The following is a 14,969-nucleotide window of genomic DNA, read 5'->3' on the forward strand; positions in this document are numbered from 1 at the left end:
AGCTTCTTCTATCCATTGGTGCTGGCAACCGAAAAACGGAATTCATGTAATTATTCTACAATATGTACTGAGTATTTACTGTGTGCCAGGTGCTGTGATAGGCACTAGAAATTCATTGGAGGGCAATAACAGACATGGTACCACTTTCATGGAGATTAATTCTGGAAGGGAATAGGTCAATTTTTAAAAAGACACAAATAACTGTGAAATTCCCACCATGAGAGTGCCCCCAGACACAGGTAAGTGGTCTTATGAGAAGGCAGGTGAGGACTGCTGTATTCTAAAAGGCATGGACAGGATGCTTTAATGATGTAACAGTTGCGCAGGATCTAAAGGATGAGAAGAAAGTAACAAAACATGGGTGAGAGGGGCAGTGCTTCAGGCAGAGGGGACAGGCCAGGCAAAGCCCTCAGGGAAAGGCCAGTGTGACTGGAATAAAGAATGGGGAGAGGGTTGGGAACAAAATAAGACTATCCTAGGAACAATGGGATGTCACCCTGCCTGTAAGCTGGGCAAGTGCCATGGGGATGCAGAGAACCAGAGAGGACCAGAGAGCCTTGCTCTTTATTCCTTGCACCTCATTTCTGTTTAACAGTAACTCTGCAGCTGGGTGTGGGGGCTCATGCCTGTAATCCCAGCACTTTGGAAGGCTGAGGCGGGTGGATCACCTGAGGTCAGGAGTTCGAGACCAGCCTGGCCAACATGGAGAAACCCTGTCTCTACTAAAAATGCAAAACTTAGCCGGCCATGGTGGGGGGCGCCTGTAATCCCAGCTACTGTGGAGGCTGAGGCAGGAGAATTGCTTGAATCCGGGAGGTGGAGGTTGCAGTGAGCAAAGATTGCACCACTGTATTCCAGCTTGGGTGTCAGAGGAGACTCTGTCTCAAAAAAACAAAAAACAAAAAAAAAACTCCGCAAGGTTCTAACCTCCATCTTAATGAGATGAAACCTGACACTCAGAGAAATAAAGTGACTTGCCCATGTCCACAGCTAGTTAAGTTGAAGAAACCAAGATCCAAACCACAGTCTCCATAACCCATGATCTTTCTACCGGGGATGAGATCAGCCTCCCAGAAGAAGGTCAACCCAGAAGTTAGTAGAAAGTAGGATGTGGATAGCCAGATGGGAGGTGAAGAGACCTTTCCCAGAAGGGCAAGATATCATCAGCAATGTAGGGACGAGACTAAGATGGCATGAGAGAAGCAATACAGAAGCTACCTACATAGAAGAAAAGACTAAAGGAATTAAACAAAGAGATTTCTCTCAGTGGCTTATCTCTGAGGATTGTGACTAACTTTTTCTTTTCTTTTTTGAGACAGAGTTTCGCTCTTGTTGCCCAGGCTGGAGTGCAATGGCGTGATCTTGGCTTACTGCAACCTCCGCCTCCCAGGTTCAAGCGATTGTCCTGCCTCGGCCTCCAGAGTAGCTGGGACTACAGGCATGCTCCACCACGCCCAGCTAATTTTTATATTTTTAGTAGAGGCAAGGTTTCTCCATGTTGGCCAGGCTGGTCTCGAACTCCTGACCTCAGGTGATCCACCCGCCTCGGCCTCCCAAAGTGCTGGGATTACAGGTGTGAGCTACTGCACCCAGCCAACTTTTTTTCTTTTTGCTTGTCTGTGCTTTCTAAATTTTCTACAATGGGTAGATGTTTCTTATGTAAATAGGGGAAATAGTAGCAGTTATATATAAAAGGGATCACATAAGCTTTTTAAGTCCTTGCAGGCAGTGTCTATATTGTATTTATTTTTTCATCCTCCTACCAAGCTCAGCACAATGCCTGGCACATAGGAAGGTGCTCAATAAAAGTAAACTAAACAATGAAGTAGTTGGAGATAAGGGTTAGGAGAGGCAGAATGATAGAAGGCCAAGTCCAGCATTTTGTTTTGAAGCAAAGTTCAAGCCTATGTGTCAAAAATCCATTAGTCTTGAAATAAGCCCTTGGAACTGAATTCACCTGCTGTTTCCTTCATAGCATGTAGTGACCACACTCTGACCATATGCCACCCTCCCAGCCAACAGATTCCTCCACAAATTTTATTTGAGCTCCTTCAATGTGTCCAGCCCTGCAAGGGCTCCATAGGGGAAATAGACCCAAGAGAAGAATAAACCAGCGCCCTTTGCCAGAGCAAATATTTTGGTGCTGAATGATTTGGCGAAACCTGAGAACATTCGCTCAGAGGAGGACTGCCTCTCCTCACCAAATGGCACAACATACTATGATGTTATAATATTAGGTTCTTTATCACGGAAACACTGGCATCTGTTTCGGAGGAAGCTCCCTCCCAGATGGTGCATCCCACTGTTTTTGTCGTCTGGAACAGTATGAGGTTTCTCAAATGCCTTTAAGTTTCCAAATCATCCTCCATACAATGGCAGCCTGTTAATTAAGTGGTCCCTTTGTGATTGCATTTGATAAATATAAGATGAGAAGGGTTTATTGAGATGTGAAGGAAAGCAACAGGGAGGAGCTCCTCAGAGCAGACAGGCCTTTGTGTGGGCGTCATTCAGTGGGCTTCAAGGGAATCGGGCACAGCTTTGGATGAGCAGAAAAGAGTTTGGGATTCGCACAGACAGAGCCAACTCTACCCTGTGGACGCCCAGCCATATGCAAACGGTGTATAAGGGGCTTTGTGACGACCTCGCCTCATCCATCTCTTTCCACCAAGAGCAGGCAAGGAAACAGAAGCCTTCCACTTCTTTCTGGGAGCTGAGTGACTCGTGCCATTCGCAGATGTGCAGTTGTCAGTTACACTGCCAGGAGCTCTTTTGACTCCAACGGACAAGATTTGAGAAGTGGAGGTCCAAAAAAGGTATCTGCTTTGGAAGGAGTGTTCTGTGTTCTTGGAACAGCAGATGACTGGTGACAATATGTAATTAAATATAAACTCTCGGGCCAAGAACTTGACTCGGAGGGTTGGTGGACTTTCCGGTCTGACTTGTGCAATTTGACCTTCTCCAAAGACCAGGCAACTTTCTCCAAAATACAGCACACCAAGGAAGACTAAAGACACGTAGTTTTCAAGGGAATATAGATCTCTGTCAACTCCCCTCCTGCTGCCAGGCAGAAATAAATCAGCATCAGGCTACATACAAGGATCTATGATTACCAGATGGCATCTTTGTCTTTCCTTCTGGTTCAACCTTAATTCAATCGTTTATGCAACAAATCTATATTAGGCATCTAGTAGGAGGAAGGCACATATCTGGGGATGTAGTGGCCTGGCTCATGCGCCCCTGCCCTGGAGGGGCTTACAGTCCAGCAGACACATGGCTCTGTGAGCCACTTGGGGGCACAGGATTTGGCTTTGATCTTTACCCTCCCAGCACCTAGCACAGTGCTTGCTGCATACTGGGTGCTCAATAAATGTTTGTTGAATGACTGCATGAATAAATTCTATTTCCCACCCTCTTCTGCAGTTAATATAACTCTGTATCTTTTATATCTTCCTGCTGTCATTAATGCTTATTTTCTGGCTTTGGTTGCTATAAAGAACAGCTGTTTCTCAACTTCTGTACCCTAACACTTCATACTCTTAGAAATTATTAATAATTCATCTTTTTGCCTTCACTCCTCCAGCTCCCTCTTGTCTTCCCCTGGCATCAGCATCTGCTCTTGGTCACCTGTAATAAGAAAAATAATTTGTTTTGGCATCTAATGGTCTTTTACAGTTTGCAAAGGTTTTCACTTGTATGATTTCAAGGACTTTTGGAAGAGCCACTAACAAGCCCCAGCATCATCCAGGCTGCACCCTGCCAAATATTAACCCAACCCCAAATTAACACCCCCACCCCCTGCAACTTTTACCTTCAACCTTAAAGTCCAACATCAGCAGATTTAAAGATTAATTCTATCATTAAAATAAGATCCAGACAGTCAGGGCATGGTGGCTCACACTTGTAATCTCAGCACTTTGGGAGGCCGAGGTGGGAGGATCACTTGAGGTCAGGAGTTCAAGACCAGCCTGACCAACATGGTGAAACCCCATCTCTACTAAAAGTACAAAAATTAGCTGTGGGTGGTGGCACAGGCCTGTAATCCGAGCTACTTGGAAGGCTGAGTCATGAGGACCGCTTGAACCCAGGATGCGGAGGTTGCAGTGAGTCAAGATTGCATCACTGCACACCAGCCTGGGTGACAGAGCAAGACTCCATCTCAAAAAAAAAAAGAAAGAAAAATAAGATACAGAGAATACCTTCTCTAAAACAGTCATCACATTAACCTTGAAAATGTTTTACTCTATAGTATAAATTATACCAGATCCTATGCTGAAAGTGGGTTATAATAAATAGAAAAGAAAGCTGGGAAACCCACAGGAGAATCCAGGTTTGCTAAACCTGCCCAGCAGCAAATCTTTGACCTTAGTAGAAAAGCTCAACAGTTATATATTTGTATCATTATTATTTCTAGTATTAAAGCTACCACTCCTACTATTACCATTAGTATTGTTTCCACTCTATAAACGCTAGTCCAACAAATGTCCAACAAATTTCAGCTTCTTTCGTGAAATGTAAGCTTGACTGTCAATTATGTTTTCACAGCTATCCACAAACCAAGCAGATCCTTTGGTTTTCATTCATTTTAAGTGTTAACAGATGTTCTCTTAAAATATTCGCAAGCTGTACCAAAGGGAAAGGTTTAGATGGCCAGTAAATTTAAATAGAATTGGGACTAAGAGGAAAGGATTTCTTTGGGGTTATAGGCACATGAGTGTGTGAGTTATAAGCGCAAATAAGTGTTGTGGTCTAAAGGAGCCACTTACTTCCTTGACTGTCTTTTAACAGTTTTTTCTCCTTCCCAGGGATGGGAAATCCTCAGTTCAGCAGCTGATGTCCTAGAATACTTTGTGGAAACTGGTTAAACTCTCTTATGTGTTCACATGATGCGCGAGTAGCATCCTTAACCCTGAGCACTTCCTTCCCATCACAGCCAGGTTGCCCTGGAAGACCCACTTGGGTCTTCACTCCTGAAGCCAGACCCTAGGATGGCTATCTTCATCTCACACCTGCTCCCCCATAGAATAAAGTTGCTAAGAGGCTGCTCCTCTGGTCAGGTGCTCCTGCCTCCTCTCCATGGCCCAGTCTATTCTATTCATGTGGCTCCTGATCTGCTACTTTCTGAATTCTGTGTATTGCTTGACTCTTTGCCCAGTCTGTTTGGGTGTTCTCCCATCCAAATGCTTCTGAGGTACATGCTGCCCCTTTTGTCCGATTTCCCCAGGCCTAGCTTTCTTCCTGATCTCCACAAGCCATCATGATTGTAGCTCCTGCATAACGAATACAGAGAATACAAAGCTCTTGCTTCCCAGACATTCCCTCGGAATGAGAGAGTGTAGAAGTCTGGCTGCAAATTGCCAGAAAGGAAATGGGTCACAACCTGCTGCAAACAAGGCCTTGATCATCCTGGTTATTCCAGTCCATGGCCTGAGCACTTCCTCATGTGATGACAGCTCCATTCAGATCCTCCTTTTGTCTTGATTGGCCCTCCCAGTAAGGAAGAAGACATTGAATGGCAAATGGAAAATCCATAGAGGAGCTGGAATACTCAACTCCTCCCTTCACCCTTGCTTACAGGGAGACATAATTTCCTCCAGAAGCATGGAAGAGAATGTTGTCCAGGCTGGCACAGCAAAATTAAGTGGAATGGTAGAGAGTTCCCATATACCTCCTACCCACACACTGCACAGCCTCCCCCACTACCAGCACTTTCCATGAGAGTGGTATGTTTATTACAAATGTTGAACCTACGTTGACGCATGATTATCACACAAAGTCCATAGTTTACATAAGGGTTCACTCTTGGTGTTGTACCTTCTATCTATAGGGTTGGGAAAATATATAATGACATGTATTCAACATTATAAAGTCATACAGAAGAATAGTTTCACTGTCCTAAAAATCCCCTGTGCTCGATCTACTCACCCCTCCCTCCCCACAAACCCCTGGAAACCACTGATCCTTTTACCGTCTTCATAATATTAGTTTTCCCAGCATATCATATCACTGGAATCACATAGTACATAACCCTTTCCGATTGGCTTCTTTCACTTAGGCATTAAGTTTCCTCCATGTCTTTTCATGGCTTGGATATTGGCACTGAATAATATTTCATAGTCTGGATGTACCATAGTTTATCTGTTCACCTGCTGAAGGACATCTTGGTTGCTTCCCAGTTTTGGCAATTATGAATAAAGTTGCTATAAACATCCATGAGGAATGTGTTTTTAAATTACAGTTTTTCTCAATGATGACATCTTAATGAGCAGGGATTAGTTATGACAAACGTGTAGCTCAGTATGTAGAATACATAGCCAAGACTTCCCAAACACCTGTCCTCAAGTAGTCCATAGATAAATCACTCCAGGAGCTTGTGAAAAACATAGATTTTTGAACACCATTCCCAAAGACTGATTCAGGAGGCCTATGAAATCACCAGGCTTAAGAAACAGGCTTAACCTACAAAAGGAAGAAAGCAATGGAAAGTTAAAATCACTCTGTTCGCACCGGAGAGGATCATGCACAATGAAAAGGTTGGAGACTAACATTGAAAACTTGTTTGATGGAGACATTTTGTTCTTCATTGAGCCTCTTGGGGAAATGACATGGTGGCTTAAAGAATTGTTGATATGTGCTATCCTCTCCCATTAAAAGGAGCTAAAAAAGCCCCGGGCACCAAGATGTGAACTATTTCCTTCAGGGTAGAATGGAGCCACTAAAAATAGCCTTGGAAAATAAGGAGTTGTAGAGGCTCAACAAGAAAAACAAATCAGAAATAAATCTGGTGCTGAGAAAGAAACAGGGAGAAAGACAAGTTCTCGCAGGCAGTTGAGAGAAAGAAGCTATTAGCTTAGGTACATGAAAGCAGGTACATTTTTCCCAACCACAGGGATGCTGGCTGGCATTCCCACAGAGTAAATCAGTCCCTCTAGAAGGAAGGAAGATGAGTCAGAGAATCAGCCAGGATAGGATAGGTTATGCCAGGGTAACAAACAACCCCCCAAATTTCAGTGGCTTAAAAGCACAAAAGTTTATTTCTTCCTCGTGTTAGACATCCAGTGTGGGCTGGTGGGGGCTCTGCTCCTTGTCATCTCTCAGGGACCAGACTGACAGAGGCCTCATTTCCACACATGCTTCTAGGACCCCTGTGGCAGGGGACAGGGGGTGCTGCACATCCAGCACTGACAATTAAATGCTCAGAAATGATGCACGTCACTTCCACCCCCATATCATTGGCCAATGGTTGATGCATGTCACATGGCCTTGCTTGTGTTTAAGTGGAATAAGAAAGTGAAATCACGTCACATGTCCAGAAGGCAGAGAATGAAAATTGGTGCAAACAGCTCCGTGGCTACTATAGTCAGATAAAGGAGCTGAGGGAGGACGCACGGGAGACAGTGGAGGGGAGGCCCCTTTTGAGCCACTAATTTGCAACTTGAGTTTCATCTCTCTCCTTACCCATCAAGAGGAGCAGGCCCATCCAGAGCTCCTGAGGGTTTCTGGATTCACTTTCTGCCTGAAAAGTGAAAGGACAGCATGGTGGTGAACAACCTAGGCAATGGAGTCAGACTGACCTCTGTTTGTATCGGGAAACTACATTTACTCTCTCTGGACCTCGCTTTAGTGGTCTAAGGTGGATGACAATAGTGCCTGTCTCATGGGGTTGTTGTGAGGATTGCTAAGTGAGATCACGCAAGGAAAGAGCTTTAGACCAGAGATGCTCAAACTGGGCTGCAACAGTGAGCCACTTGAGGAGCTTGTTAACATGCATTTCTGATTCAGCAAGTCATAGGTAGGACCTGAGATCCTGCGTTTCTAACAAGCTCCTAGGTAATGCCAATATTGCTGGTGCATGAACCACACTTTAGTAGCAAGGATTTAGAGCAGGCAGTGCCCAGCTATGGTCCATTATATGTATTCTTAAAACTGGATCAAGAGATTCCAACAGTTCTGCTGCCCTCACCCTCAAGGAATGAAAGCTACAACTGCTTGTTGGTAGAGATGCTCATGTCTGTTGCTTCCAGAGATGAATGTTCCAGGGAACCCTCATGGTTAAGGGAGCAGGTGCTGAAGTCAGGAGTGCTGGGTTGTCTCCAAGCCTTGTCACTTCGCAGCCATGTGGCTTGGATGAGAAGCTCTCTGAACTTCCGTACTGACATCTGTAAAATGAGCATAATAATGCAGACCCACTATCCCTCATCTGCAATTCTCTAGTCCAAAGAGCTCTAAAAAAGACAAATTTCTTTATTAAGTTTGATATGCATTGACTTGGGTGCAAAAGTCAACCTGCATTAACCTGAAGCTATTTATTACTTTTATCCTTCTTTTGTGACTATTTCTATGTTTTACCACAGAAAAGTGAATGTGTTTGATAGCAAGATGCTGCTGCAGATTCTGTTGAGGGTGTGAGACTATGTACAGTACCTACTCCATCTTACCTTCCTAAAAACTAAAAGAAATCCTGAATTCTGAAATACATTTGACCTCAGTGGTTTTGGGGGGAAAAATGTACCTAAAGTGTCTCTTTCTCCAGTAGTTGAAAGGAGTGTGGGGAAAAAATGCATGTAAGACACCTATTACCATACTTAGCACATTGTAAGTGCTCAACAAATAGATGTTATTACTGAAATTATTGTTTCTCCCAGTGCTTCTCATAGAAAGAGAGGAAGGGAATGTGGAAGATGGTGCCTTCAGGTGCTGTAGAGATAGGAGGACAGGACCAAGATTGTCCCTATCTGTTTGAAAGCCCCTCAGTTTGTCTTCTACCTTCTCCTTAAAGAAAGAAAAGAAATATGCAAGGAAATGAACACATGCAGTGAGCATGCACACAGGAAGCATGGACAAAAGCAAGACTCAGACAGTGGAAAGAGCTCTTGTCTCTGCCTGCAGAAGCAGCCCAGCAGGAACCCCAGCTTCATAGTCAGCCAAGGACAGCTGGCCTTTTTTGATGTGTCTTTGAATATACTATTGAGGAGTCTCACTCGAGCTAAGGACTCTGAGGGAGGAGATGGGATTTCCATTTCTTACTCTGCCATTCACCTGCTGGGGGAACTCAGGAATGCCTTCATCTCCACAGGGCTCGGTTTTCTGATGTGAAATGGGCCAATAATACAGATCCTGCTGTGACTGCCTTATTGAGGGGGCCGAATAAAAGTGATCACAGATGTGAATGCATTTTGAAAGGGAAAATCTGTGTTTGCAGGTAGAGTATAATTATTAATCTGACTACAAGTAGGAGATCAGTGAGAGGACTGACCTCATGCAGGGAACACTGGTTAGCACGCACTTTAATCACACTTCTGTTGTCAACTCTGATGGCATTGTCATTTGCGTTTGGCTCCCTCACCTTCGCCAGAGCCATTTGTGCTTGTCAGTTAGGCCGGTATGATTGGGTTTTCACAAGATGTGAATTAAGTGAGCTGCTCTGGCCCCACCACCACTGACACACACCCAAATCAAGACTTTGGGATATTGTTTTTTAAGCCAATAAATGACAACGATTAGAAAAAAAATAATGGGGCACAGCTTCAAGGAGTGTCCCAGGAGGTATCCCTGAATATTCATTCAAGGCTTTTGAGAATCTGCGAGTATATCCTGGAGTGCCAGCAAATGGGCAACTGCCCCAAAGTAGAACTGATGGCTGATTCCAGCATTTTTGCAAGGGACTCCCTTCTTCCTTAATGCCCACCCTACCCTGACTCTGAAGGAGCCAGCCACAGAGAGTTGAAAGAAAGTTCAGTACAAGTGAAAAAAGATACCATGTGCTCCCTCCCAACCCACAACAGATCCCTATAGCCTGAGTTGGGGTTGGGGGGACTTTGAATAGGATGGGAGACTGAAGTCTGGTATAACCTTGAAGGACCATTTAGCATCTGAAATTGAGTATAAATGCCAAAAGTAAGACAGAATAGGGATCCCCTTTTTTAAGAGCCTGCAGATCCCAAATCCTGATTTCCTTCAGGGGAAATCCCAGGCACCTAGCTAGTCCAAGAAAGAAATAATTTCTTAAACACAAAAGTAATAGTAGCCTAAAACAATAGCTAAGAAAGTTACAGTCCAAGAGATGTTTCCTTTCCCTATAGAACCTCAAGATAATATCTTCACATGTGTCCTTCAGTTGTCTTTCAGAAACTCAACCCCCACTGAACAGATCCAGTGACATGTAGATCTCAGATAAGGAGAAAATAATGACTAAACTTTAACCAGCATTCTTTATTCTAAGTGTCTTCCTGGGGTGGGGGCTTAGAAAAAGTCACACCCCCTAGCCAGTTAACAGTCTTCCACTGACCTCAAATTTTTAAACAAAGTTTTTCTTCCCTAACCAATTACAAATCATAAAGTCTTTAAATCTACCTATGACTTGTAAGCTCTACTTCAACATATCTCACCCTTTTAGGTCCAATGTGTTACCTTCATGTATTAATTTATGATTCATACTGTGACTTCCGCTTTCCTGTAGTTTACCCCTGCCTTTAAAAATCCTTGCCTACAAGCCATCAGGTAGGTCAGGATTTAAACATTCAACAGTTTGGACCCCCTCGCTTGGTCCCCTACAATAAAAACCTTTTGTTCCATCACTACAAACCTTGGGGTAGATACCTGGTTTTACTAAGCCAGGCAAGCTGACTCGAGTTTGGTTCCTAACAAAAACAGTACTTGTTAAGCTAAACTGATGAGAAATAAAAGTATGAATCTGTCCGATAAGTCATCCAGGGGCTGGAGGGAGTTAGCAGAGTGTTTGGAAGTGCAGCATTTGGAGAGAAAGAGAAATCCATTTCCTGTCTGTGTCCCTGTTGAGTTCAGTCCACTCAATAAACTGTTTCCACATATTAAGGGCTGGACTCTGGGACCGGTATATGGCTCAGCAGTCAGATGACAGCAGTTATTACCATTATTTTTATCTTAACTTTCACTGAAGGTGGATTTAGACCTTTTAAGTTAATCTACAGAAATACAATATACCTAGTAAATGAGAGAGTGGAGAGACTTCTTATCCTGTTTTTAAATTTTTTTACATTCCTGTCTCCACAGGTGAATTTGGAACCATCTTCAGAATCAGGCTGCCGTGCTGTCTGTCAATGTATTGTAATTGAGACCTGCAAGGGCTCTTCTCACACCTGGGAACATCATGGTGACATTGCATCTGCCACCAGCTCCAGCCCCAGGAAGGTAGCATGTGAGGACAGGTGTGGCTAGTTATCATCCCGACGCCTGGTTAAGGCATAATAAAAATCAGATGCTGTTGGCCTCCCATCGGAACAGGGTCCCCAAAATGCTCAGAGCCCTCTTCTCATTGTTTTCATTGTTCCTGCCTCAAAATCTTCTTATCCCAGATCTCTTTTCCTCCAGGTCCTGCTCTCTGCTTTCCTAGCCTGTCTGATAAACCAAGCCTTTTGTTGACATAGCTTCAAAAGGCCAGGGGCCCCAATTCAAATCCTTGTTCTTCCATTTACTACCAGGAAGCCTTAGCCAATTATCTTCCTCTCACCTGACTTCTGCTTCCCACCTGTAAAATGGGAATGGTGACAGCTGCCCTATTGACCAGGTGCCACAGTGTTATTCTAGGGTTCATTTGCAGTTGTAGATGTGGGAGGGCTTAGGAAAACTTTAAAGCGCCATATAAATGATTATCAAGGATCTCAAGAATGTAATGTCTTCATCTCTTTTGCCCAGATAACACTCTACATGTGAATAGGTTGGACCTCAATGCGTTTCAAAGGTAGAATTCTAGAAATATGACAGGGTCAGTGTGAAACACGTTTTTGACAAACCCCAATCTGTCCCAGTAACTGATTAAAGATGCAGTTGGGCTTTGGACTAAAATCCCTATAGACATAGTATTTGATCTAGCCCATTCAGGCTCTGCCCCAAATTTACTGTTAAGAAAAAAAAAAACTATCAAAATAGGAGGTTTCTTTGGAACTTTCTCCCTCTTACGAAAACAGTCCCCAGGCTGGGCACTGTCGGTGCCTCTAAAACAGTCAATATTGTGGCTCAGCCCTGCCCTCCTGTTGAGTAAGGATTGCATCTACCGGATGTCCCTTGCCAGTCTCCTTGATTGCTGGTCTGGTCGGATTCACCTGTGCGGTACCCTGCACTGGCCCAGAATCTTCCAAGAGGAAGCCTTTGTCCTCAGGGCCGACAAGCAGGACAAGGGCTCGCAAGCCAAAAAAAACATTTCCATGGGCCCCCAAGAAATAACATCCAAGTCCAGTTGTGGCTCCAGACTGAATCGAGCAATCAAATCCACATTTGCCCCTGCCCAAAACCTCAGAAATGTTAACATCTTACACGTGTCAAAAGGGTTATTTATGAAACTATTTGCTTGTCAACCCCAGGAGGACATTCTGTACTTTTTCCCTGGAATACTGTATATTTACGAGCCATGGCTCAAAAACTAACTTTGGCAGGAATATTTATCCAAGAAACATTCTATCAACCCCTTGCAAAGCACAGCCTGCGCTCAGTCACTAGCGCGTGGCAGCTGGGCCGGGTCCTGGTACAGAGCTGGTCTATGGCTCACTGTCTCAGGGAATGAATTCCAGATGTGTGCTTCTTCAGGGGTAGGATTGCAATTTCAGATAAGAAGCTTGCTTTTTTTTTTCCTTACTTTTTCATTTTTTTTTTAACTTCCCTTCCCAATCTAGAAGCGTGCTCAAATAATTAGCCTTGATTGTGTGGAGCATGCAGCCTATTTGTCGTCTCCTGCATTAGATATTTGATGTGTTATCACCCTCCTCTCTGACCGCGTAAAGTCCCTCAGTTTGCAGAGCTAAGCTTCTGATGTCCCTGTTTTAGGATCCAGTTGTCTATTGCTAGCATGTGACACATAGAGAATCACTTAGTGGGAGAGCAGAAGGCCTAGTGCCATGTGAATAGGCTCTAGTCTGAGACAGTAAAATACCTGCCAGGAACTGTTGCCATCAGACTTCCCTAGGAACTGGTGTACCTCCAACGTGGCCCTGCCATCAGCTTCATCAGCCAATAGAGTCTTCTGCTGACAGGGGCCCCAAGCCCAGCCATCATCACAGCAGTTTCCTTGCTTTCCCATGAGTTTGGCCAATCAACTTACAATCCATTTTTCTGCTCTCTTCGGGGTTGAAGGGCCCAAGGCAGGAGCAGTCTCTGAGTGTGTGTATGCTGTCCAGTGACAGGTAAAAGGAGACAAGGACATGTATATGGGGACCTAGAGAGACAGAAAGATCAGAGTAGCAGAGAGATCTTGACACTTAGAGACATGACTGTGGGATTGATTCTTATGCAACCTCTGTAACATTTTTCTACAGCTGAGATGCCTATTTATTCTTAAGTCTCCTGAACCTTGATTAAAGACCTATTCCTAAATGTCTTGGTCCACAGCATTTTTAGAGATAAAATAAAATCCCTTTAGCTAATTTTTCTTTACCATGCCATATGGTAGTATACTAAAATATTATTATCATTGTTGCTGTTTATTAAATATTTGGCATTTGGTATACTCTATCTGTGGTTCTTAAAAACTGCAAAGATTTTATCATCCCTAATTTACAGGTTTAAAAATGCCAAGGCAGGGAGAGGTTATGCAGTTTTCCAACAGTCACAAAGATGATTGTAAGGGAGCTGGTATTTGAACCCAGAATTTACTGGTTCTTTCACGTGACAGAAGAGAAAAGAACTAAGAAGTTGAAGGAAGGAAAGGGGGTGAAAGTTGAAGTATAAAATAGAACCATCAACTCTTGAGAGTTTGATATTGTCTTCCCTGAGCTGCCCTTCCAGCCTCAGTCGACCTTCCCGAGTGAGGCACGCCATCTGAAGGTCATGTCCCTGTAAGGAGGCTCCAGTGTGCACATCCAAGAGGGCTGAGGGCGGGAGGTCTCTGTGGGGGAGGCTTCCATGTCCTCCTTAGGCTTTTTGGCAGTGGAGACACCAGCAGATCCAGCAGGGGGTTATTTGGGGCCAAGTCAAGAATCTAAAATTCCTGAAAGCTTCTGGGGCTGGTCACTGGGACTCAAACTCCCCTGAAGACCTCTCCTAACCAAGATCAGGGCACAGAACCAAGTTGTCTCTGTACTCATTCCCCTCCCGCCCAAAGCAGACACCTTCTTGGCAGGGAGCACTGCCTCCTGAAAAAGAAAGGTCCATGGAGCCTCGGGCCACCGTTCAGGGTCAGGAGGCTATGGGAGGTCTCCCCAGGGGTGTAAGGGCAGCCCAGGCTATAAACCCCAGACCTGGGTGTGGGCACAGAGCCAGCAGACTCACCTAAGGAGCAGGGACAACAGGAGAAAGGACTGCTTGAAGAAAGACCTTGGGCAGCCTTAGACCTCTCTGGGGAGTGGGGCGTCATCCAAATACAGTTTGTTTCATGGAGTCACCAGAACTGCATTTCTGAGTCTCCACATCCTTATGAGTTTTAACAGAGATGTAAGATTGTATCATAAAAGCCCCATCCTTAAAGTAAAGCCCACTCTCTTTCTTATCCTTATTCTGCTGATGTGTTAACTTGTCCATGCCTCTGGGCCCCCCTGCCTTTGTCCTCTTCCCTGAACAATGGAAGGAATACTTTATTCCCCTGTATCAGAGGGTAGAACTTGTGGATTTGAGCTCTTCATTCAGAGAGGTCCCTTTACTTCTTGGATGAGTTACTTCATCTTGGTTTCCTCATCCCTTAAAATGGGAATAATGACATAACTACTCCATAAAGATGTTGTGAGAATAAACCACAACATGAATATAAAGAGATTTGGTTCTTGGCACATAAAAAATGCTCAATAACTCTGAGCTGTTTTTTAAAAATTAATTTAACTTCCTGGAGAAAAAAATAAAACCATGGTAATGGCAACATGCTTGGACACTGTTAACTAAAGTGAGGGATTATTAATCTCTATATACAGATAGGTAAATTAAGTTCAGAAATGTTATCAGATTTGGCTAAGTTGAATAACCAGACACTGTGGTTTGGGAAGTGATCTCCCATCTGAGATGATAAGAAAACT

At 44.1% G+C, this 14,969-nt stretch overlaps 1 long non-coding RNA gene across 1 annotated transcript in view, besides 2 other annotated features; it reads right to left on the reverse strand.

The window, feature by feature from the left end:
* Nucleotides 1,709-14,969, reverse strand: part of LINC01847 (long intergenic non-protein coding RNA 1847) — a 94,613-nt gene continuing 81,352 nt past the window's right edge. Inside the window, exon 3 of the long non-coding RNA NR_109891.1 lies at nt 1,709-3,624. This is a non-coding gene — a long non-coding RNA (long intergenic non-protein coding RNA 1847). The remainder of the gene's footprint in view (nt 3,625-14,969) is intronic.
* Nucleotides 3,340-4,539: an enhancer, noted in NCBI's record as "MED14-independent group 3 enhancer chr5:159205410-159206609 (GRCh37/hg19 assembly coordinates)". NCBI's record gives its function as "activates an origin of replication core promoter dependent on BRD2, BRD4, P300/CBP and CDK7 cofactors, and independent of MED14, by STARR-seq in HCT116 cells {active_cell/tissue: HCT116}" and the evidence as "EXISTENCE:reporter gene assay evidence [ECO:0000049][PMID:35650434]".
* Nucleotides 7,428-7,497: a silencer, noted in NCBI's record as "silent region_16573". NCBI's record gives its function as "represses an Ori minimal core promoter by ATAC-STARR-seq in GM12878 lymphoblastoid cells {active_cell/tissue: GM12878}" and the evidence as "EXISTENCE:reporter gene assay evidence [ECO:0000049][PMID:35858748]".

The sequence above is a fragment of the Homo sapiens genome, chromosome 5, assembly GCF_000001405.40.
Source record: "Homo sapiens chromosome 5, GRCh38.p14 Primary Assembly".
Classification (NCBI taxonomy): domain Eukaryota; kingdom Metazoa; phylum Chordata; class Mammalia; order Primates; family Hominidae; genus Homo; species Homo sapiens.